At 43.3% G+C, this 25506-nt stretch overlaps 1 protein-coding gene across 3 annotated transcripts in view, besides 1 other annotated feature; it reads left to right on the plus strand.

Annotated features, from left to right (window-relative positions):
- The window catches only part of SLCO3A1 (solute carrier organic anion transporter family member 3A1), a 318728-nt gene that overhangs the window by 25341 nt on the left and 267881 nt on the right, over positions 1-25506 (plus strand). The window lies entirely within an intron of this gene.
- Positions 2629-3204: an enhancer, noted in NCBI's record as "OCT4-NANOG hESC enhancer chr15:92424907-92425482 (GRCh37/hg19 assembly coordinates)". NCBI's record gives its function as "activates a minimal SCP1, AML or CMV promoter by ChIP-STARR-seq in primed H9 embryonic stem cells {active_cell/tissue: H9 hESC(primed)}" and the evidence as "EXISTENCE:reporter gene assay evidence [ECO:0000049][PMID:30033119]".

A 25506-nucleotide genomic window follows, 5' to 3' on the forward strand; every position in this document is an offset into this window, starting at 1 on the left:
TCTGCACACTTGCTTCTGAACACACACTTCTACCCACATGCAAATTCTGAAGGGTAAGCACGCTGAATTCGGCAGCCACTTTTCCAAAGGCAATAGAGTAATCGGATAGGCCATGGTTATATAGAATATCTGTTGGCATAAGGGTTCTACTAAAATATTTATTGCTTGACCCTGAGTGGGTGCCTATAAAGCAGGTACGTTTTGCACACCACTTACACTGTGATATGCTTGGTATCTGTCACTTATTTTTTCTGCCTTTTTTTTTTTTAAAGCCACCATCTGCATTTTCTACTTTGAAGCACATTAGTTACTATGGAAACAGTGATGTCATTGGTGGGGGTGAGGGTTAGTAACATCTACAAGGACAGTATAAAATCATTTTATTTAATGGGTTGAAATTTATATGACACTTGGGAGAAATGATGAGTATGCTTAAGAGAATGGTGTGGGTATACAACCGTAGCTACTATGATGCCTATACATGTAACAAATCAGCATTTGTATGGTTTTTAGGTTGCAACAAAAATATGGCTGAAAACTAAGAAAAATACGAAGAAGAGAAAATGGAAGGTCAGGGCATTCTTATAATTGTTCTAGCCGCTCAGAACATCATTTTCTGAAGGTGGCCTTCTGGTTAATACAAATATATAGATGTCCCTATATAGATGTAATTTATATCAGCTAATGGTCCAGTTTTCTTCTATAGAGATACTGTCATGGGACAGGTTTTTGGCTTTCTGAATGAAATTTGTGTTCCAGGCAGTAGTGGTTCAATTCTGACATGCAACCAAGCTCTTAACGAGATTCCTGAAGAGGATCCCATGGTCTCCGAAGCTCCAGACAGAGATTTTATGTAAGGACAGTTGTGTGTCGCAGCAGAGATGGCACAGTGAGTCCCAGGAAGGGCCCTTGGATCTCTTTAATAAGATATTCAGGGCTCTGTGCAGAATGTCTGAATGAAGCTGGCTGTGTTCCTCTTTCATTTAGTCTCCTTGGAAAGAAAAAGTGCTCCAGATAGATAGATATGCTCCTCAACCTGCTTGTATGTGTGTCCGTCCGTCCGTCCGTCCGTCCGTCCGTCCGTCCATCCATCCATCCATCCATCCATCCATCCATCCATCCATCTATCTATCTATCTATCTATCTATCATCCTGAGATGATGGTAGATTCACATGCAATTGTAAGAAATAATCCAGAGTGATCCTGTACACACTCTACCCAGTCTCCCCCAATAGTAACATATTGCAAAACTGTAGTATAACACCACAATTAGGAAATTGACAGTGATAGGGTCCACCAACAGATTTCCTCAGTTTTACCGGCACTCGTGCTTCTCTCTCTCTCTCTCTCTCTCTCTCTCTGTGTGTGTGTGTGTGTAGTTCTTTGCAGTTTCATCACTTGTGTGGATTAATGTGACCACCACCACAATCAGGATATAGAATCTGCTGTACATTTATTGCCACAGTCTCTCCTGCTCCCTAACCCCAGGGCAGCACTATTCTGTTCTCCATCTCTCTAATGTTGTCATTTTACGAATGTTACTTAAATGGCATCATACAGCATGCAACCTTTTGAGATTGTTTTTTTTTTTCCACTAAGCACAAATCCCTTGAGATCCATCCAAGTTGTTGCATATATCAATAATTCATTTCTTTTTATTGCAGAGTGATATTGCCTAGTGTGGAGGTACTCCTGTTAGTTAACCGTTCACCTCTTGATGGCATTTGGGTTGTGCTTATCTATTTAAACAGAAGTATCTGGGAGAGGGCTTTTGGGGTCCTAAAAGCACAGAATCAGGAAGCAGTGTAAAGTGCCCCAGTCTCTGTCTATGGTTCTCTTCTTGGTTTTCAGCAGGGATCCTTCCAGAAGCAGTAAGGCCCAATTTATTTAGAGTGATGGAATTTGGTGGAGAGAGCAGAATGAGCCCAGAGAGCTGGCTAGCCAGGCGATATGTCTCCTTTCAAAATGGGGCTCAGGATGGGGCTTGGGTGGAGGCTCTGTGTGCCCTGAGACCTGCATTCATGTATCTGCATTTCTCTTACAAGAATTGATGGGAGAAGGTACCTTTTCTGCAGAGCCTGTGATCAAAGGAGATGTAATACAAGCAGCTTGGCCAGCTTGGTCCCTCCAACCCTTTTGGGGAAGATCAAAACCTGAACCCTTATTCTAGGACAGGAAGCAGAGGGAATTTTTTCCTTGGTCTTACTGATTGATTTTCATTTCGAAAAGTGTTCCCCCACCTTTTTTTTTTTTAAATGCTCGGGGATTTTCTAACTGGTCATGTGACAGAATTTAAACACCAAAACTGTTCTCTGAATACCAGCCACAGGTCTGTATTCCTGGTTTGAGGTTGATCAGGAAGTGGCCTGAGCTGAAAGACCCAGTGATTTGACATTGCTCTTTCCTTGCATAAAATGCACGATAAAGAAAAATGTTTTTTTCTTTATCGTGCAGTTTATGGAACCAGCAGACTAACCCGCCCCCTTCCCTTGTCTTCTGCTATTTAATATTTAAGCTGTTGACCTAAAGAAAGAAAGAAAGGGTTTTTAGCCTTGAGATGAAGTTAAAAGCCACTCAGAGAAACCGTTGGATCAGAAGCTTTTAATACCAACAGCTGTCAGTCAGCGAGCCAGTCAGCACATGGTCTTTCTGTCGGAGCTCAGTGGAGAATGCAAGTCCCCTGTGGTAAATAAGCAACATGCCGAGTCTACCAGGAAGGGAAACACGAACACATACTCCCCTGGCCCAGACTTTAGGAGATGGTTTTCTTAGCGCAAGCAGCATGACTTCTTTGCCTGGCAAACTCCTGGTCATCTTTTACCACTGGAATGTCATGCTTGAGTGAGGTAACCCTGCTCCATCCCTGGCCAGGTCTGGGTCCCCTCTCTTCGGGTCTCTTTTACAATTGACCCTATTATCATGCAAAACCCTTAAGATCAGTGCCTTCAAGTACAAATGCTTTTCATTGGAGAGTTTGGTTCTAAAGCAGCCACTGAGACCAATGTTATATGGAGGTGGAATATTACTCAAGGACATCCCCTTAGTTGCCTAGAAGGGAAGCAGTGCATTCCAGGATCAGGCAGTATAAACAGTGCTTACCTCTGAACACTAGGATCACGCTTAGCATGGTAATAGTGAGATCTATGCACAGGAGGGGGCATGTGAGGACTGAAACTCAGTGTGAGGATGGGAAGTTTATGTCTCCCTTCTCAAGCACGCAGTCAGGATGTGCATTTGCTGAGTGGAATTGTGGACAAACCATTCACACTCCTTAAATGGTATATATTGAACCCATGCATTTGCTTCTCTTTGTGTTCATAGCTCCCAGTTTAAGGTTGGACACTTGGTAGCCTTTGGTAAATATTTACTAAATGAATCAATGAATGATCAAACAGAGGGACATGAAATTTGCTAATACGGTATAGATTTGGGGGCCTCCACCCCCACCCCACCCCCACTATGTATGACTTCTTTTTTTTCCTTGAGATGGAGTTTCACTCTGTCGCCCAGGCCCGAGTGCAGTGGCATGATCTCAGCTCACTGCAACCTCCGCCTCCCGGGTTCAAGCGATTCTCTTGCTTCAGCCTCCCGAGTAGCTGGGACCACAGGCGTATGCACCACCACCACGTCCAGCTAACTTTTTTGTATTTTTAGTAGAGACAGGGTTTCACCATGTTGGCCAGGCTGGTCTCGAACTCCTGACCTCAGGTCATCTGCCCATCTCGGCCTTCCAAAGTGCTGAGATTACAGGTGTGAGCTACCGCGCCCAGCCATGACTTCTTAATCCCACTCGGATTTCACTGAATATGTGCGATAAGTATAACCTCATCAAGATTTCCTTGCAATTAGGTATCACCTTGGTGTCCCAAAGAGATGTAATATCACCTTGTTCTTTAAGAAGTTGGTTGGGCTGCTCTATTAATGCCCAGTGAGTAAGGGAATGACAGATGGGACAGCAGCCACCATGCAAGCCAGGCAGGCGCCATCCACTGTAAACAGAGAGGAGAATGGTGAGGACTTGGGAAGGAGCCATGTGCTCCAGCCATTCAGATTCCAGTCCTCTCTGTCAGCTCCTCTTAATCTCCATGTTACTCAGATGCTTTGAGGCTGGTGGATAACAAAGTATCCCTCCTTCCCCTTTTTTAACAGCGGGCAGTAAGTGGTCTGGGTTTCACTTACATCAGGTGCCCAGGAGTCTTCCTGTGTGAAGTCAGCTTGTTTGGAGAGTGAAGAGAGAAACTTGGCACCGGGACCCTAGAATCCCCTCTTTCTGGTTTGCTTTTTCACTCCATCAGCTGAGGTACCACAGGGGATGCCAGAGACCTGAGGCTTCTTGGTAGAAGCAGTGCCAGTTTGGGATCAGAACGTCCAATCGCTGACTGGTTCTCTTGCTCTGAGGCTGGGGCTCCCCGGAGGGATGTACCTCGCACTGACTGGCTGGGGCCCTTCATCCTTTGCATTTTCTTGCATGCAGTAGTCTTCCATAGGGAGTTCTACCTCTCAGGTATTTGTAATTATTTTATGCCATTATATACCCTGAAAGTGGCTGTGGGTTATAAATTCCAAGTTGTGATTTATAAGCCTTAATAGTTACTAAGGCAATGCATTGATACATTGTTCATACGCTCATAATTAGTTCATGTGTTTTGCTGGGTTGTGCATAGAAATTTCGGTTCCAAGTATTTTTTGAAGTAGAAGTGTGTTTGTAATATCCTACTTACCGATAGTAGTGTAGCATCCTGATAGTACATCACAGTTGCTACACTCACTTCTGTGGGTCCACACCCCGTGCCAGGCACCGTGTTACATGCATTTCTTCTGCTGTCCTTTTCATCCTCACACTGAGATGCTTGCAGAAACATCTCACAAAGCAGGCAACTGAAGGGATCCAGTTTCAGACCAAGGTCTGGCCTGACTGGAAAGCTTTATCACCATAGCATCATACATACAGTCACATTAATGATCAAAATAATGATAATAAGAATCGTGATCGTATCTAACACTGTTATAAGGTTTTCCTATGGATTAACCTTTTGGATCTTTGCAAAACCTTGTGAGATAGGTACACGTATTATCTTCATTTTGTAATGAGGATTCCGAGGTCCTGAGAGTTAGAGAAATTTTCTCCCTGTCACATAGCTTGAAAGTGGCAACACTGGACATCAAAAATGGGCATTCTGCTGGGTGCAATGGCTTACGCCTGTAATCCAGCATTTTGGGAGGCTGAGGTGGGTGGATCACCTGAGATTGGGAGTTCAAGACCAGACTGGCCAACATGGGGAAACACCGTCTCTACTTAAAAAAATACAAAAATTAGCCAGATGTGGTGGGCAGGCCTGTGTTCCCAGCTACTTGGGAGGCTGAAGCAGGAGAATCGCTTGAACCTGGGAGGTGGAAGGTTGCAGTGAGCCGAGATCGCGTCACTGCGCTCCACCCTGGGCAACAGAGTGAGATTCTGTCTCAAAAAAAAAAAAAAAAAAAGGTGGAGGGGAGCATTCTGACTTCAGAGCCTTTTTCTAATATTAAATTGTTTTAAAATAAAACTTATTGATTTATTCAGCACAGATTATGTGAATCACTACAATCAAATTATTATGAAATGTCTATTTTCTAGTATTAAATGAGGCTTAAGTGATTTTTCACAATCTGCATTTTCTGGAAAGCTTTGATAATTATATTTCAGTTCTAATGGTGACATTTCTTTTTTTTTACATCATTGGAATTATTTGTTTGGATTACGCATTTTTTTGTATGCTTACTCTATGCCAGGCCCCATGCTGCATATTTTCATATATTATCTCATTTCATCTTTTTTTTTAAGCTGATTCTTTTAGACCTGAGGCAGCTGAGCATCACGGAAACTAGTCAGTGTCTATCCTAAAAACAGCTGGACCCCTGCTGGCGAGCTCACCTGTATTCTAGGAGCATGGGGTCTGATTCCCTTCCTCAGTGAATCAGGAAAGCTTTCTGGGGAAAGGAGTTGTGTGGGTTCTCCAATTCTTGTTCCTTTAGAAGTAAAAAGCCTTTCCGTCCCATATAGGGACACAGAAAGGAGGTGATGGGGGTGGTGCTGAGCCTGCCCGCCTGCTCTGCGTCACCTGGAAGGAGGGTGCAGAAGGAGCAGGGGGCTTGTCTCCCTCTTTGCTCCCTTTGGCGTCACTCTCCACGCCCAGTAACGAAGCCCCACCCCTGGCTGGGCCTTTTCTCACCATCTTCCTTCTCCAGGGCTACCTCCTGAGGGCTCACTCCTTAAAGGCAGGATGCAGTGGCTTCTCCTTGAGTGAGCTCAGAGGTCAGGAGCTTCCTAAGCTCCTGTATCAAGAGACAGAGGACATCTGAAGCCAGAATGCCCTTCCCAAAGCTGCCCTAGCTCCTGTGTTTCAGGAAGAAGCCGGGCAGATGCCTCTTTGTTCCAGCAGCCAAACTCCAGCATGTCACAAATCATACATTACAGGAAAAGGGAGCCCTTTGCTGCTGGGCAGCGGGGCCCAAGATCCTCACAGTCTTTTAGGGATGCTTAGAATTGGCCCTTGGTTGGTTTGTAGCATTTATACAATATCAACCCTTAAACTGATGGCCCTTGAACAAGTGCATCATTCTCTGTCCTTGATTTCATTCACAGTAGACAGTTTTAGGTAGATCCCTGCTGTGAGCAGACACATACATGCGGTCTGACAATTCAGATCCCTTCGCCTTCCCCTCCCCTATTTTTATGGCTGCTAACAAATCGGCTGGACCTTTCTCTAAAGGCCTCTCTGGGCGGGTGATATTTGAGTAGATTTGAAAGAAGTGTGAGATCAAATTATATAACTATTTGGAGCAAGAATGTTTCAGGCAGAGGGACTAGGAAGTGCAAAGGCCCTGGGGTTGAAATATGCTTGATGTGGTCGGGGAGTGGAAAGACCAGTGTGTCTCTAGCAGAGAGGGTGAGAGGGAGGCAGGGGAAGATGAAAGCAGAGAGGTGGGTGGAAGACCAGACCCGGCAGGCCCCTGTGAGCCACAGGGAGGCAGAGTTGGTCCCTTTTAAATATTGGGGCTGGCAAATCTGACTAGTCCATTTCCCTAGTACTCCTGCTTACCTCTGCATTTTTGCCTTTGATTGTTCCCTTTCTTGAGTGTGTCCTGCGCTTCCCCTTGGTCTCCCTTAGTTGTGCAATGGAAAGTAGTAGCAGAGCACAAAAATCCACATTGGAAGCTTAGAGGATTGTATCTTTTTCTCACCAGCTAACTCTTACTAATTAGAAATTGACAACAGCGCTTGTCTCTCATGCTTCTCTTTTAATTGAGATTTCCTTCAAGTCCTCCTTTTAGGCAAGAGCTGCCTCCTATGAGCCCCTGGCCCGCTGCACCTACCTTGGGTCTGGGTGGCTCCTGTTTGTGTCCACATCAGCGTGAGTTGTGTGAAGTCCTCAGCAGTGCTCCATGCCTAGAAGGCCCCAGTGAGCATTGACTTGGACCTGGTGATTTTCCTCTTTACGCTTTGCCCTTCCAAAGAGAGATGGAAGATTCAGCCTCAGCGTCAGTGTTGTTTCTACGGTGTGACCATATTTGATGTGCTTACTGATTCCTAAGTCACCTACTGGCACACAGCACAGATGCATCCAATGTCCTTATCTCTCAGGCTTTGCTTTCAAGACTTCACACTGACTACATCAATCTGAATAATCGAGCTCAACTCCAGACAATAATTCAGGGGTACGATGTGATGGCCCTCTGTTGATTCTCTTTAAAAGTTGTGAATGTGAGTAATCATGGGTATTTAATGAGCTCTGCAAGATGGCAGGTGCTGACAAGTGCCTTATATATTCTGTTTCTAGTCTTGCAATTTGTATATTATCATTCAGAACCCCAGGCTCAGGAGGTTAAAAATTCTGCTTACAGCTGAAGTTGCAGTTGCGTGGGAGAGGGAGCAGGAGTTTATTCTCCCCTCTTTGTTTCTGCCTGTGTCTGTATATTGGCCAAGCCCATTTCCAGTGGGAAATCCTTAGTGGCTTTTATGGTGTTTTGTGGGAGGGCACAGGGGACTGACGTGTGAATGCCAGGTGTCATTATCACTGTCAAGTGTCTAATTCAGTGCTGGGTCATAGACAGGTTTAGAAGTGCCTTAGAATTCAGAGTTAATCCAGAGTGGGCCACAGGTTGATGGCATTTTGCTTTATTCTTCAATGCTTTCCTTTTCTCTTTAGAATATTGTCATCCCTTTTACCCCTTCCCCCTTCCTCGGCCATTTTCCCCAGAGGGCAGAATGGCTTGAGCTATTTCCTGCCTGAGTTTTGATGTCGAGACCCCTGCCTGCCCAATTCCTGCAACAATGACCCTAAAGCACTAATTTCAGGCCCCTCTTTGCTTGCCTGCCTGCCTGCATGAGACATTGCGGCCGCTAACCCTGCACCCTTGAGGCACCCCCTCCATTCAGTGACATGGTACTGCCTGTGTGCACAGGAGCCCTGCAGCAGCTGACCCAAACAATGCTCATTTTCATTGTGGCATCTTGGCATGGCCTGGCAGCTTTGGCCTTTTAGAACCCAGCTGGTGCCAGGGTTGCTGGCCTGCCCCGCAGAGGTGATTGGCCACTTCGTAGTAATAAACAGATTTCAATCCTGGGAACTTCTGAGGCCTGCTGTTCTCTCCCTGTCTTTTATGTGTCTTTTTGATGAAAGATATTCGAGGTAGCCACATGGTTTAATAAAACCAGGCTGGATGCAACTACCTAGGTTTAAAATATCATTCTGCTAGGCTAGCTGTGTGCCCTTGGACAAATTACTTAACCTCTCTGAACCTCTCCTTCTGTTTCTCCAAATTGAACTTAGTAATACCTACACTACAGTTTGTGCCAGGATTTAATAAGATAGTGTTTGTGAAAAGCACCTTGTTCAGATCTTACACACTGTATGTGCTGAGTACATAATTAGTTTTCTCAGGCAGAGTCCCAAACAGAAGGAGAAGCCAAATAAACCCCATGATGTGCTGCTTTGTTCTGTGTAGTCATCTGTGTTTGGCAGATTTGAGATTATTTTAAACCAAAGTAAAAGAGCTTTAATTATGCTCTTGTTTGTGGTTTGGTTGGTTGCATTATTAACCGATTTTGGAATACTCCCCGCCCTCTCACTGTTGCAAAGTGAAGGGCTGGCTGGGAGTCAGGAGCTGGAAGTCAATACTTTCTTTGCAGAACTTCCAACTCCCTCTGTCTCAGAGATGGGGTTGGCAGTGTCATCTGAATGGGGTGTGGGTTCAGAGACTGGCCCGTCGAATCAGTATGGGCTGCCGGCTCTCTTATTACATCCTGAGCATGTGTGTCTTGGGCCCTTACAGATATACTTGCTGTTGCCCTTTGCTCTTCATTCACTTAATTTCAGTCATGCAATCCAGTTATACAAATGACATATGCATAACTATTTGATTTTAACAAGCAGTTAGCTAAAGTGTTTAGTGTGACTCTAGAATTAAACTCCTTGGATTCCAGTCCCTTATACCAGGTTCAGAATAGTCCTAGGCATATGAAATCTCAATTTTTTTTCCTACAAAGTGGCTTAGTGATAGCACTTATCTTGTAGGAGATTAGCAGGATTAACCTGTAAAAGTGCTTAACATACTACCTGCTATGTAATAAATGTTTAATTAAAATTACTTGTATTAATGTTAGCAGTAGCTGGCTGGGTACAGTGGCTCATACCTGTAATCTTAGTGCTTTGGAAGACAGAGATGGAAAGATCATTTGAGGCCAGTAGTTAGATACCAGCTTGGGCAACATAGTGAGACCCCATCTCTACAAAAAAACAAAACAAAACAAAACAAAAAAAACAACACCAATTAGCTGGGCAATGTGGCACACACCTGTAGCTCTAGCTGCTCAGGAGGCTGGGGTGGGCGGATCGCTTGAGCCCAGGAGCATAAGGTTTCGGGGAGCTGTGATCATGCTATTGCAGTCCAGCCTGGGTAACAAGAGTGAGACTGTCTCTAAAAAAAAAAAAGAAAAGAAAAACCAAAAAAAAAAAACCTACAATTATTACTAGCTAACATATAGCTAACATTTGTGTACTTGTTATTACAGAATAAATATATTCCAGCTAAGTGGACGTGGATGGTTTTCTGCATAAACTCTTATTGTTCCTTGACTGATGTCATAACACTGGAGATGCATGCTCCTTAGATGAATGTAAGTTCTAAAATTGTTGCCAGGAAAGGACTGTGGGTGGTCCTGCTGGACCTGGAGTGCATTTGCAACACTTTATGGGCTTCATAGCACCTGTAGGCCTCTGCTATCTCCCCTAAGGCTGTTACTCATCACTCAGCACTTATCCTAGCCCTTCAATTTCCCTGGGTCTCTGGTCCAGAGCTCACACTGCCTCTTCTTACATCCCAGGGGTATCTTGACCTTTGGTAGTGGGCAGTAAGATGTGTACATTAGTCTGAGGCTCTGTGCCTTATAAAACACTGTGCTTGCTTGTTCTATGAATTGACTGATCTGGAAGCTCTGTAAGGTAGGCTCATTGCAAATGCAATTGCTGTTCGCTTAGTGTCATATATAGCATAATTATTGCACCTAGAATATGCTTGTATTGTCTGCATAACTGTAGGGTGGATCTGGTCTTGCTCTCTTATAAGAAAAGAGACAGGCCTTGTTCTCTACATGTTCCTTTAGGCAGTTTGCCCAGGCAAATCAACCAGGCCATTAAGGTGAAAGTATGATAGCTGAATTTTGCTCTTTTTCCATAGGTTGTTTGAATGATTTCATTTTGCATCATTCATAACTGTTGTCATTCTGTGATGTCTAGTTCATAAATACCATTCGCCCTGAGCGATTTTCTGTTACATTTAAGACTAACCTACTTTAAGGGAAAGATAGTCTTTCCTAGTCTAGTCCGCGTATCCTAGACTGAGTTATGCAGTCTGGGAAGCTTGCAGCATTAATTTCTTGCTAGAAACAAAATTTGTTTACATGTCCAATATTCTGCATATAGTTGTGTATTTTACTCATTTATGACTATAAATATAGAGGCATATCAGCATGTATATTGTGTAAATATGTACACATTTAACATGTGGAATATAGTAGGACTGAGTTTGTGTTTTGCCTTGTGGGCACTCTCAGTAGTTATTTCCCCTCAATATTTTATTATTGAAAAAATTAAGCATAAAACTTGAATTATATAGTTAATACACGTATACCCACTGTCATGATTCTGCAATTAACATTTTGCTATATTTGCTGTATAATTGTTCATCTCTCCATCACCATACTCATCCATTTTCATCTTCTTGCTGTGGTGGTGGTTGTATTTTTAAGTAAGTTGCCTGGTCCCTAATCATGACTATGTGCTCAGCTTGCAGGAAACATATATTATATCCTGGGTCTTCCTGAGCCTTTCCTGAACCTCTCTCTTACAGAGACCTTGATACCTACTCATGACTGCCAGAGCCCTCCCAGTGGCCTCACCCAGAGCTCTATCCCCTATGCCTGGCATTGACAATTCTGATTCTTACTGTGCATTTCAAAGCAAGGATGTTCGAGATGTTGTATCTATCATTTTACTTCCTCCCATGAAGAGACTTAACTGGAATTCTGAGAAAATGCTTTCTGATCCCCATCCCTTAGCACAAGCCAAATAAAGGCTCTTTGTCTTTTAAGGCTCTGATAAATACCAACTCTTAAAGGCAGGTTGATTTAGCCTCTGGTTATTTTCCCCAGAGTTTTCTGGTCTGGGCAGCCTCCCTCACCTTCCAGCCAGCCAATCCAGGTTGACCCTGGAGGAGAAGGAGCTCTCTGCTGGTGTGACTCACTGATGCCTCACTACTGCCCTGGCCAGACTGCGAGGCTCAGAAGAAAGGTAGACATTGCTGGGTGGGGACTGCCCATTCATTTTTAAGTAAAGGCTTTCTCCCTTATGATAATATCACAATAATTGCCACGTAATGTGTGCATTCTGTCAGAAAATAATGGTGAGAAAGTTAAAACTTGGCCCTTCATGCAATTACAGAGAGAAACCGAGTCAAATACTATTTTATTTAACTCATTAATGAGGGAACCAGTGAGTTGGTAAAGCCAGCTCAAAGAAGCTTTTGAGGAACTTGGTATTTATTGGCATTTTGGAAAAAAAAAAAAAAAGAGTGATAGAACAGAACCATTTTTAGGTAAGTGTGGGGGAAATTGTGATGGACCATTCAAATCAGCCACAGGTACCGTAGCTTCAGGAATATTGCCAGCAGAAAGAGCCCAGCTGTCAGCTCCATTTAGGACTACCTTGGCTGAAGACAGCCACCTTGTCTGAAGTCAGGCTTTCTTCCAGGGCAGCCTGCACCCAATGTCTGATCCATGAGCAGATAAAAAGACCAATTCTCTTACCACTGCTTGAATCTCTTGAAGGTCACTTATCCTGTATTCAGAACCTCCCATAGGGTCAGCTAAGCCTTCTGTTGCAACTGCATCCCATCCCCAATTCTCACTCTACCCAGACCTGCTTCTTTTCCTCCCTCTTACGTAGGGGTTCTAGGTTAGCCCCTAGAGTACCCTTGCATAAACTTGAGGCTCACTAGTGTTAATTCCAGGGTCAGCTTCATGGGAAATTCAATCTCTACATATACAAAATTAGTGAATGTCTTACAGGGTAATGTTTCTTTGACTTTGGGGTTTATCTTTTCTACTGTACAGCAATCTGTAAGTTAACACGCAGCTTCACAGTGTTCGTGCCCTTAATATATAGTAAATAGGAAAATCAAACCCAGGTATATTCCTCTGCATCAGGGTTTGGGAAACTTACCACGTAAAGAGCTGTATAGTAAATATTTCAGGCTTTGCAGGCCATACTGTCTCTGTTGCTCTCTCACAACTCAACTCTGCTATAGCCGTGATGGCTACACAAATGGGCATGGCTGTGTTCCAGAGACACTCTACTTAACACAGACAGGTGGTGAATGGGATTTGGCCTTGGGCCATAGTATGTGGACCCCTGTCCTAGATAAATAAGTAATCCTGGGTTGGTCTGTTAAACAATGTTCCAGTATGACATTGAAAGGACAGGCTGCCCCCTCCCCCCAGCTTTGCCCTTTTGACACTTGTAGAATATGATGTGTAATCTCCCCAACAGCCTACAAAGTGCTGATATTACCACTTTGCAAATGAGGAAACAGGCTCAGGAAAGGTCTGTCTTTACTACTTAAGAAGATGATGGTTCTTGAATTGAACCTGGTAGATCTAACCCTGAGGCCCACTCTGTCCCCACTCGTATCGTCCTACCTTCCTCATTCATGGGATGCATTGGAGCAGTGTTTTTCATTACTATTTGGAGAAAAGCGCTAACAAACAGAGCTGGCTGCAGATTCATAGAAGAAAGAGGTACGTGAAGAGTCCCTGCCCAGGCCATGTACCCTGGAATTTTCCCAGAATGGGCAGATTTACCTGTGAACAAGGTAACTGGAATGGAGGTAGGACTTATCCTCTGGCTCCAGAGGAATTTCCCAGCCTGGATAGTATTTTCCTGACCTGCATTTGTGACATGAGTAGGAGGTAAGAACAGCTTATTGTCCATAAAGGCATCCTGGCATGGAGTGGAGCTCTTATCTCAGCTGTGCCACACACTGACTGTGCCAAGCAAGCTCCTTGGTCAGCCTGAGACTCGGTTATCACAGCTAAGAAATGTGGAGGATCTTCCGTCTTACTCAGCTCTCTTTATAAATGTCCTTTAACACGGGGCCTAGATTCCAGTTCTGATTCCATATCTCACCAGCTGCGTGACTACTCCCCAGTAAGTTTCTGAAATCTCTCTGTGCTGAAATTTCCTTGTACGTAAAATGGGGATAATAATAGTATTCCTTTAACATAGCTAATGTCACAATAAAATGAATTAATATCTGTTAAGCTGTTAGAACAATAATCTGGTGCATAGCAGGTGCTATGACAATGTTTTGTTACTGTTATTTTTAGCACTTAGTATGATACTTGGCTAGTAATAGGTGCTGAATAAGGATTCTTCAATGCATAAATGAGCCACATAACAAATAAGCCTTAGAATAATTTCTAGAACTCAAATAGAGCTTTCTGCATTATGGGAAGATGCCTTATCTCTGCTCTTCTGCAAGGTAGGCACTAACTAGCCACATGTAGCTGATGAATACTTGACATGTGGGTAGTATGATTAAAGAGCTGCATTTTACATTTTATTTCATTTTAATTAATTTAAACTTAGCCACATGTGGCCAGTGGCTGTCCTGTTGGACAGCCCTGTTCCAGTGGGCTCAGAGGTTGAGATTCACTTGGTCTGTGTCATAGTTGGTTTGGACTGCTATAACACGATACCATAAACTGGGTGGCTTAGAAACAACAAACATTTATTTCTCATAGTTATGAAGGCTGGAAAGTCCAAGATCAAAGTACTGGCTGATCTGGTATCTGGTAAGGGCCTGCTTTCTGGTTGATAGATGGCACCTTCTCATTGTGTCCTCACCAGGCCAAAGGGTGTGGCAACTCTTTGGGGCCTCTGTTATAAGGGCACTAATCCCATTCATGAGGGCCTCACCCTCATGACTTAATCACCTCCCAAAGGCTTCACCTCCTAATACTATCACATTGGTGGTTAGGTTTCAATATATGAACATTTTTAAAAGGACACAAACATTCAGACCGTACAGTCTTTTATCAGCATTTCTCAAACATCCGTGGGTGGTTAACATGCAGCCAGAATTGAGAACAGAGTTAGAACTTTTAGGCCGGTACTTTTTCTTCTATTTATCCATCTATCCATCTATTCGACAAATGTTTGTTAAGTTCCTGTTATACATCAGTTACTCTTCTAGGAACTAGCAATCAGCAAAGATAAAGTCTTGGCTTTCAAAGAACTTGTACGCAGGTAGGGAACAGATGATTGAAAAGCACACAGTGAACAGGACACTTCTGGACAAGGTACTTGAATGCCAGGAGGACCAAAAGTGTGTTGCCATAGCGACTGGATTGGAAGCGAAGGTGGTGCTGATCAAAGGAAGCCTTTCTCAGGAGGGGACGTTTGAGCTAAGACCTGCCTGGGGAGAAATCAGCCTTGTCATGATCTGGGATAAGAGTGTTCCAGGCAGATGCAGTAGCACATTGTCTCAAGTTGAGGATGGGTTTGATCTGTTTGCAGAACAGCAAGGCAACTGGTGTGGTTTGAATGGTAAACATATGGGATGGTGGTAGGAAATGAGGTTGGAGAGGAGGGCAGGGGTGGGGGGTTTTATAGCATCTTGCAGGCCAGGAGGGTCCGGAGTTAGGATTTTATTCCAGGCCCATGGGGAGCCATTGGAAAATACTGAGTAACTTGCCATGATGTGACTTTGGTACTCAAAATATCTAATTGCCATGTAGTGTGCATGGACAATGGGGAGAGGCATGGCAGGTGTGGTGGTATCTCAGGTGAGGGGTTGATGGTCGCCAGGTCATAGGTGGTAGCAGTGGAGACAGAGGAGTGGACAGATTGGAATCTGCCAAGGTAGGGCCAAGTGATGGGTGGATTAGATGTCTGAAGGCAGCAGAGGCAATGGAGGAGGGTCCCCAGCACTGTGTTGCCATGGAGTGGACAGTGGGGCTGAAGACCCGTGTAGCCCGAGGCAGCATTTTTGACTTGAATGTTCATATGTACCACTGGGGATCTTGGTAAAATGTAGAATTTGACTCTGTGGGTCTGGGGCAGGGTCTGAGATTTTTGAATTTCTAAAAGGCTCTCTGGTGATGTCAGCTACTCCTGCTGGAGCCCCACTTGACTGAGCAAGGGCTTACTCACCCTCACCCTGCACATGCTTCTGCCACACAGAGGCACAGAACAGTGAAACCCCCGGAGGGACAGGGAGTGCGTAGAAGCAGGTTGTAGCTCGCCTGCAAGAACTCTCAAGAATCAAGGTTGAGTCTGTTGTTCCTAATCCATACCTGCATCCTGGACTTGTGGCTGTGAGTCTCCAGAGACTCAAGGCATTTGCTTTGTGAGGACACAGAAGTCCCTGCTTTTTTGTTTGTCCTTTAGGAACAGAGTTCCTGGGCAATTATTTCACAGCCTGTAGCAGTGTAGGTACATCTCTTCAAGTCCAATCTTTAGAACTGCTTTGAGGGGATGTATTTTACATGAAAAAGAAGCCTTTAAAGCAAAATGAGCTGTGGGCGTGAAGGCAGTGTGACTCCCTGTGTGTAAGAACCCTGTGCTAGTAACACAGTGCACTTTCTTGGTGTCTGGGAGAAATGAGACTTTATCACTAGAGATATTAATAATATGATGATCAGTTTCAGCAGAAAGGAAGTTTAACTCCAAAGTGGTTCCTCTAGCTGTGGGTTCATTTCTTCATGAAACAATGAACCAGGAAAGGAAGTGTCAAGTAGTTTAATGTGATGCATATTTGTTGCTATACCAGGCCATAGGATTTAGGGCTGTTTTAAAATGAGTGTATTTCTTGTATACAAGGGGCTAGCTCAACCATAGTGGTCATCCAGGGCTTGCATACAATGTTTTATTGACGCAGGACTTCATATGGAAGCTTTTTGTAAATGAAACTAACATTTGATTACTGGGAGAAAATTACTGTGACTAGCCATCTGGTTTCCCAGCCAATACTGTTGATTCATAGTGCTTCTAGTAGTTCTTAATAATCTGTCTCATTTCATATGATATGAGATATTGAAGCTATTTTCTTGACTTCCTCCAGCCTAAACACTTAGGGTTATTGCACCAAGCGTGCACTCTAGCTTTCTTCTATCTAATCTTTTGAGTTGCCAAGTGCCATGGCATTTATCGTTACAGGTTATTAAATTATGTGGTGTTTTCCATTTTTATTATGTTCTTCACTTCTAATAAATGCAAATCTTCTCTTCAGAGCCCACACAGATTTTTCAAAACTAGGCAGTGTCAAGGACAATGAACTGTGTAGACCCAGCCTTACTCAAAACTACCAGTGTCCTTTCTTGTTTTCCAGTAGGAAGCTATTCAGTTAAAAGCACTCAACCTGTTTGTCATTTTGCTCCTCTAAAGAAGCCTAAATCCTTCAGTTCTCAATGTTTGTGTCTCCTATTTGTTTCTCTTCCATTTTCGCAATTACAGCTAACTCCAGAGATAAAACAGGCATGGTTTAAGAGTCCTTAATGAAATATCTGCAGTTCATAATATGGTTGTAGAATTAAAGCAGGGCCTTTTCCTGTGTTGGAAGAAATGCTCCCGGCATAAGCATATGCACCTCTCTATCCTCTAACTCTGGAAACCAGCATGTTACATCCTGGATGAGGACTCAGAGTGATGGCCCCATCACAAAGCTGAAAAAACTTTTCTTTATCTGCCAAAAAAATAAAAGTCAGATCCATGGTGCAGTCACGATTGCTTCTCTGAGGTAGGACTCCAGGTAGAAATGACACTTGGAGGTTGATAGGTTTGGTTGTGTCCCCATCCAAATCTCATCTTGAATTGTAGCTCCATAATCCCCAGATGTTGTGGGAGGGACCCAGTGGGAGGTAATTGACTCATGGGGGTGGGTTTTCCCGTGCTGTTCTCGTGATAGTGAATAAGTCTCATGAGATCTGATGGTTTTATAAAGGGCAAATCTTCTGTGCACACTGTCTTGCCTGCTGCCATGTAAGACATGCCTTTGCTTCTCTGCCACCTTCCACCATGATTGTGAGGCCTCCCCAGCCATGTGGAACTGTGAGTCCATTAAACCTCTTTTTCTTTACGAATTACCCAGTCTCAGGTATGTCTTTATTAGCAGTGTGAGAACAGACTAATACAGAGGTGCTTTTTCTGGAGGGACACTCTGATTAGTGTGAATAAAGGTGAGTCTTATGTAAGATGTTTATCATCAGGACATGCTGTATCTTGTAAGAAAATAATCCAAATGGTACTTAGAATATGTCTCATTGATACCAGCCTTGATGCTGAGGAGAGGTATTGTGGGCTTTTAGGAGCCAGACAGTCCTGGGTGAAACCTGTCTCTGCCCCTTGTAGCTCTGTGATTTTAGGAACGATATGTCACTTTTGTGATCTTTAGTTGCCTCTAGAAAATGGAGATGATAATGCCATTTTAGCAGCTGGAAAGTTGTGAGAAATCAAAGTAACCGTAAGATAAGTTCCTACCACACTATTTGCCATTGTCTATACAATTGTTGCTTTTAAAATAAAGACAGGCTGGATGCGGTGGTGCACGCCTGTAATCCCAGTACTTTGAGAGGCTGAGGTGGGCAGATCAGGAGTTCAAGACCAGCCTGGCCAACATGGTGGCCAGTTTAGTAGAGATGGGGATCTCTACTAAAAATTAGCTGGGCATGGTGGCGGGCACCTATAATCCCAGCTACTCAGGAGGCTGAGGCACGAGAATTGCTTGAACCCAGGAGGCAGAGGTTGCAGTGAGCCAAGATTGTGCCACTGCACTCCAGCCTGGGCAATGGAGCGAGACTCTGTCTAAAAACAAACAAACAAACAAACCCCCAAAACTTATAAAGCTGGATGTTCCAACTAATGTCCTATCCTGGTTTTTAAATTTCTTTGGATCAAAATAAAAAACTCAACAGGCTTCTTCTGATTTCTGACAGTTTCTTTTGTGCTGGTGCCTTTGACTATCTCAAAACGTGGCTGCAGGTGTTTTCCCTAGCTGATGAAATGCTGGGACTGTCCTCTTGATAAAGTTAGTCTCCCTGGACAGTGGCGGCAGAGTGGATTGGTGTGCTCCCATGTGCTAGGCTGAGTCTACCCTGCAGCGTGGGCTCCAGCAGCAGTGTGTTAAGGGCAGTGTTGGAACAGACTGTTCTCTCTATTTTCTGACCTGCTCAGGCATCCTGCAATGGATGACATGTGAGCATGAGGATGGGTGCGGGAGGCGAAAGGCAGCTGAAACTGCAGGGCAGAGCCAGGCGAAGTTGAGAACAAGAAGGAATCGCTGCTCTACACACACGGGGTTTTTAAATTAGAAAGATATCATGAGATGCAGAAAGCAGGTGCTCATGGTTTGTTTCTGTTGTTCTTGGCTTGCGTTAAGGTGCCTCTCTCGACACGGTTTTCTAAGTGTGAAGTTGGAGCTAGTGTGACCCAGTTAACATTATAGGGCTCTGTCATTTCTGGGGATGCATCTGGTGACCATCCATCATGTACCAAACACCTGCCTAAGAACAGAGCCGTGTGCCTGTGTCACTGGTGCACACAGCAACATGCTCTAAGCTTGTCGATCCCCAGTTAGGCAATAACCACTTTCTCACTGAGGTAAAGAAGGCCTTGTCCTGTAACTGGAGAGACAATGCCTCTATTCTAGACGCTTGAGATCACAGTCTTTCCAGAGAGTGCATTTCCTTTTACATTTGCTAATATTTCTAATACTGTATTAGACTTGCTTGTCTATGCAATTTCCCCAAACAATGTGTCTCTCTTGGCTTTCAGCTTTTATTAGACACAAACATCTCATTTCTGTAATTGTTCTCCTGTCAGGCCTGGCTCCATTATTATCTGGCCTCCAGAGCAATTTGAGTCTCTTCTGGAGGGCTGAGAAGGCTGCACTCCCTTCCTCATTTCCAGTGGATCTGGGAAAACTCAGCTAAAGGAATTTAACATTTCGATCCGCAAGATACTAACATCATCCTCAGTGGGTTGACATCTTCTTCTTCCCTTAACTGTGAGACTCCAGAGCATGCATTTTGGATGGAGTTGATATCACTTCTAGTGGAGGGAAAATTACTTCTGGGTGGGGGAGGGAGGCAAAAACTTACTCTTTTTATGTATAAAGCAAAATATACATATTATGAATATATAGAGAGATTTACATTTTATTGGTAGTATTAAAATTTCATGGGGGGACAATTAGGAAGAAATGTCTAAAAAGGTTCTTGGAGGTGATAATGAAGAGAGGTTAAAAAACTGCTGCGAATTTTATTCTTCGTGGCTCCTATCACCCAGTCACAACAAATAATGCGTAAAATGAAACTCTTTAGTTCTGTCTTTGGGATGAAGAGTGGCCAAGTGCCATATGGGAAGGAGGGAAGGGCTGGTGTGTTCCCAAGTGAAGAGCAATTCAAAACTCCTTGGAGAGAGTCATCAATGAGGTTTAAACAGCATTGGAATCTCCCAGAGGGTTTCAACATACCAACTCCTGGGTTCTGCAAATGTACCCCAGAAACATTCTGGAACTCTGGACAGCACTTGAGTGATTCCTAAATATCCAGGCCAACACAATGTCTGTAACCTCTGATGTAGAACAGGGAGAGAGAGTGACTTAGAAGGGAAGCTAGTTCAGTGTGGGGGGGATGGGGCTATTTTGCAGGCGTTTCCCTAACTAGCTCCCTTCACCTCTGTGCTTTGGTAAACTAGACAGTACCTGGTTAGTTCACCAACTGTCCCCCTGCCTTTTCCACTTTGATGCATTTGCTTATTGAGTGGTCTCTACTTGGAGTTCCCTTTCTTTTATCATAACCTAACAACATTCTATTTACTCTATAAGATGTATGTAGTTCCAACGTGACTCCTCTTGCAGGAAGCTTTTTGTGAACCTCTCCCAGTTCTGCCCTATTTTTTCATTGCATTTACCACATTCCACCTTACATTTTGATCATTTCTGTGCATTGTCTTTTTTCCATTTTATTGGGGTATAATTTATATACCATAAAATCCGTCCATGCTAAGTATACAAGTCAATGATTTTTAACAAATTCATAAAGTTATGCAGTCATCACCACACTCAGTTTTAAAACATTCCATCCTTCCAGAAAGTTGCTGATGCCCAGTTGTGGTAAGTTCCTGCCCCATCTCCATCTTCCAGACAACCTACTTTCTTTCTCCATAGCTTTCCATTTTCTGGACATTTCATACAAACAGAATCATGCAATATATATAGTGTTTCACATTTGGCTTCTTTCAATTAGCATATCTTTTTGAGGTTAATCTACATCATAGCATGTATTAATAATAGTTTGTTCCATTTCATTGCCACTACTATTCATTGGTATTGGAATTTAGTAGATACTGTATTTATCAGATTGTGTTGGTGTTATATTTTTGGTTATATCACATTTTGTTTCTCTGTTAACCATTCATGGATGTTTGAGTTGTTCCCAATGTGATGTTATTATGAATAATTCTATTTGCTGTCAATATAAATGTGTGTTTTTAATTCTCTTAGGTAGATACCTGGGAGTAGAATTACTGGGTCATGTGGTAAATTTATGCTTAACTTTTTAAGAAGCTGTTCAACTGCTTTTCAAAGTGGCTATAACCATTTTATCTTTTATGTTCCCACTAGCAGTATCTGAGTGTTCCAGTTTCCTCAGATGGACGTGAATACTTTGTATTGTCTGTTCGTTTGTTTGTTTTTGTTTTTTGAGATGGAGTCTTGCTCTGTCACACAGGCTGGAGTGCAGTGGTGTGATCTCAGCTCACTGCAACCTCCACTTCCTGGGTTCAAGCGATTCTCCTGCCTCAGCCTCCCCAGTAGCTGGGATTACAGGTGCATGCCACTGTGCCCGGCTAATTTTTGTATTTTCAGTAGAGACGGGTTTCACCATGTTGGCCAGGCTTGTCTCAAACTGCTGACCTCAGGTGATCCGCCCGCCTTGGCCTCCCAAAGTGCTGGGATTACAGGTGTGAGCCACCGTGCCTGGCCTGTTTGTATTTTTCATTATACACATTCTACTGGGTGGGTAGTGGTATCTCATTGTGACATTTTATTTGCATTTCCCTAAAGACTAATAATGCTAAGCATCTTTTCAAATGCTTATTAGACATTTGTATATCTTCCTTGGTGAAATATCTCCTCAAATTACTTGCCTATTTTAAATTGAGTTGTTTGTCATTTTACTGTTGATTTGTAAGGTTGGTAGGTAGTTTTGTTCAAATCATCTTTATCCTTACTGATTTTCTGTCTCATTGTTTTATCAATTATTGAGAGGGATATTAACTTCTCCAAATATTATTGTTGTATTGTTTATTTCGCCTTTCATTTTGTCGATTTTTACTTCATGTATTATGGGGCTCTATTCTTAGGTTGATGTAGTTGCATTTACACCTGCCATTTTGTGATTTGTTTTATGTCTCATCTTTTTTTTGTTCCTTTGTTTCTTCTTTATTGTACTCTTTTGTGTTAATATTTTCTCATGTTTCATTTCAATTCCTTTTCCTCATGTTTTGAATTATTTTCTTAGTGATTGCATGTATGATATATGTCTTAAGTTATCACAGTGTACTTCAGATCAGTACTAAAATTCTCTAGAACATGGAAACTTTCCTCCAGTATAGCTCCATTTCATCCCCCTCCTTTGTAGTTTTGTTGTCAAACGTATTACATCTATATCTTATAAATGAAGTGTTATGGTTCTATGCAATCTAATGCCTTTTAAAGAAGTTAAGAGAAGAAGAAAAATACATTTATATAGCTTTTTGTATTTACTTACATATTTAACTTTTCTGATGTTCTTTATTAATGTATATCTTAGTGTATATTTGAGTTACTATATGGTATCGTTTCCTTTCCATCTGAAGGAATTCCTTTATTATTTTTGCAAGGAAGATTTGCTAGCAGTGAATCCCCCAAGTCTCTGTTTATCTAGGAATACCTTTATTTTGCCTTCATTTTCAAATGAAAGCTTTGCCGGATGTAGAATTCTTGGTTGACGGTTTGTTTTCTTTCAGAACTTTAAATACATTGTTTCTAATGAAAAGTCAGCTCTTAATCTTATTGAGGACCCTGGGTATGTGATGAGTTGCCATCTTTTCTTGCTGCTTTCACAATTTTCTGTGGGTCTTTGCCTTTTAACAAACTACAATGTGTCTAGGCGGGGATCTTTTTGTGTTTGTTCTTCTTTGGGGTTCTTTGAGCTTGTTGGACCTGTAGATTCTTGTATTTCACTACATTTTGGATGTTTGGGCCATTATTTCTTCAATTTTTTTTTCTGCCTCTTTCTCTTTTTTCTTTATGGGACTCTATTGCATGTATATTGGTATGCTCGGTGGTGTCCTAAAGGTCTCTGAGGCTCTGTTCATTTTTCTTCTCTGTGGTTCAGATTGCATAATTCTTAGTGATTATTTTCCAAGTTTACTGATTTACTGATTCTTTCTTCTGACATCTCATATCTGATATCAAGCTCCTTTTGTGAATTTTTTGTTTCATTTATTATACTTTTCAACTCTAGAATTTCCATTTGGTTCCTTTTTTTAAGAAAAATATTTTCTGTATCTCTTTTTTTAAGAGACAAGAGTCTCACTCACTGTGTCACCCAGGCTGTAGTGCAGTGACATGATCATAGTTCACTGAAACCTCAAACTCCTAGGCTCAAGTGATTCTCCCACCCCAGCCTCCTGAGCAGCTAGGGCTCTCTCCAGTGTGTGCTCATGGCTTTCTGGTCAACCAGAGATAATGGGGAGCGCTTAAGGATCCCTATGGCTGATCCCTGTCTTCCGTTTAAAATTCTGTTTAGTTTGCCAGTCTTTTGCTTGCCCCAACCAGCACTACTGGTTGCAGCCTCAGGGTAGCTGAGGGGGATTTCCTTGTTTATTTGCAATCAATATTGCTTTCCCTGCCACTGTTCTGCCAACCTACATGGGAGTAGGAGGGAGGGCAAGAACCAGATTCCCACTGATCTATCCAGAAGTTTTAAATGAATTAGTGCTCCTCAGTTTGTTGTATGTTTTGTCCAGAGTCTTGAAATGGTTGTTTTTGACAGTTTTATCATTGTTTTTGAGAGGATTTGCCAGGCTTCTCACACTGCCATTCTAGCCCCACTGCCTTTTTCCTTCTAGAGAGGAAAACTCATGGGGCAGATAAAGTGTGGACTCTGGCACCGGATTGCCTGGGCTTGAATCCTGACCCTGCCATTTGCAAGCTGCAAGACCTTCGGCAAATTACTAGACCTTGGACAAATGACTTAACTTTTGTGCTTCTGTATCTTCATCTGCAAATTCGAAATAATAATAGTACTTACGTAACAAGGTTGTTGTAAGAATGAAATGGATTCATCTACATAGTGATAGCAGCGGTGCTTGTTACTGCAAATGCAATATGTTAGCTCTTTTACTTGGTGCAGCAAGGGCAGGGACTGTATCTTACTTGGCACTTTAAACCTTGCCCCACCATCCTTGGTCTGGTGGCTCGCACGTAGTCAGCTCATTGGATTCTCAGATCATCTTTCTTAAGTGATGCTTGACATACGGAGGAAATGAGGACAGCTCTCAGAGTAACTGAAGATGCGAGGAGGAGGGACTGCAGGGGACCTGAGGAACAGATGGCCTGGTGCCTCGTTGAGGCCAAAGGTTGGTCAGTGTGTTTTCCCTCCTAGCTCTAGGAACTGCCCAAATTGCCTGGTGCTGCTCAGAAGCCATTGAATTTGAGATGAGGTCTGTACACTTGCATTTCCAATCCAAGAAGTTAATTAGCACAATTGCCACCATTTCAGAAGCTCTCTTGTTTCGGGCACTTCAGGAACGGACAGGACAGTGTGGCGAGGATGCTGATTTTTAGGTATTTTTGCAAAAGGGAGTGGTTGTGGGGGAGCTGTGGGAGAGCAGGGGGTCTTATGGTGTGTACTCACCAACCTCAGCTGTTTCTCACCCACACAGAGCCATCGAGCAAATGAGAGATTGGTGCCTTTTCCTCCAGTGGACACAGCTAGGGTGAACAAAGTATGGGAGGCCTTTGTGGAGGGAGGCATATGTCCTACGCAGCTGTATGCAGTGATCCTGGCTTAGCCACCACGTGTCCAGCTCTGTGCTCAGGAGCAGGGCAGCATGGCCATAAGATGGTAGCCATAGATGTGAAATCTGCTTACATGGGTTTGACTGAGGTGTACCGAGCAAATGGGGACTTTCTTATGATTCTTAACAGAAGGACTGAAGGAGGATGGCAGTGACAAGAAAGGTGATTGTTGAATTGAAGTTGTTGTTGTACATGGATGAGGATTGGGTGTGCTTGTGGAGAGGGCAGGGGTGGAGCCGGTGGAGAGGGTGAGAGTGAAGAGGAGGAAACAGGACACAGTGATGGAGAAAGGTCTTCAGGAGATGGGAAGGAGTGGGTCGGGTAGAGGGATCTGTGTTCAGCGGGAGGGAGGGCCACGCTTTTCCTGGGTGGAGGTGAGGTGCCCCACAGCACATGCCCTCACTTCCCCTTCCTCTGAAGAGGGTCCCACGTTTAGCTTCAGCAGGAAGAGGCACTGCTGTTATATCATGCACGGATGTTCACCTCTCTACTCCTGTGGTCAATTACAGGTACACCTTTTGGTATTTATTTGGGTACTTATCAGTATAGCATTTTTAGCACCTTGACCAGATACTGTGCATCCAACAAGTAGGAAACTGTTTTACTCCTGGGGGAGCGAGACCAAGTAGTGATATGTCTACTCTTCTCCTAACGCTGGGGGAGTAGAATTAAACTGGGCGTCAGGTGTGCCATTTGCAGGTGCGTGATACATTGCAAATTGCTTCATTCCTCTGGGCTTCCGGTTCCTCCTAGTAGACTGCAAGGAATGGACTAGATCATATCAACATCCAATTAGCAGTTAATATCCATTGGTCCTGTGATCAGTCACTCTGTATCTCAGA

The sequence above is a fragment of the Homo sapiens genome, chromosome 15 (assembly GCF_000001405.40).
Source record: "Homo sapiens chromosome 15, GRCh38.p14 Primary Assembly".
Classification (NCBI taxonomy): domain Eukaryota; kingdom Metazoa; phylum Chordata; class Mammalia; order Primates; family Hominidae; genus Homo; species Homo sapiens.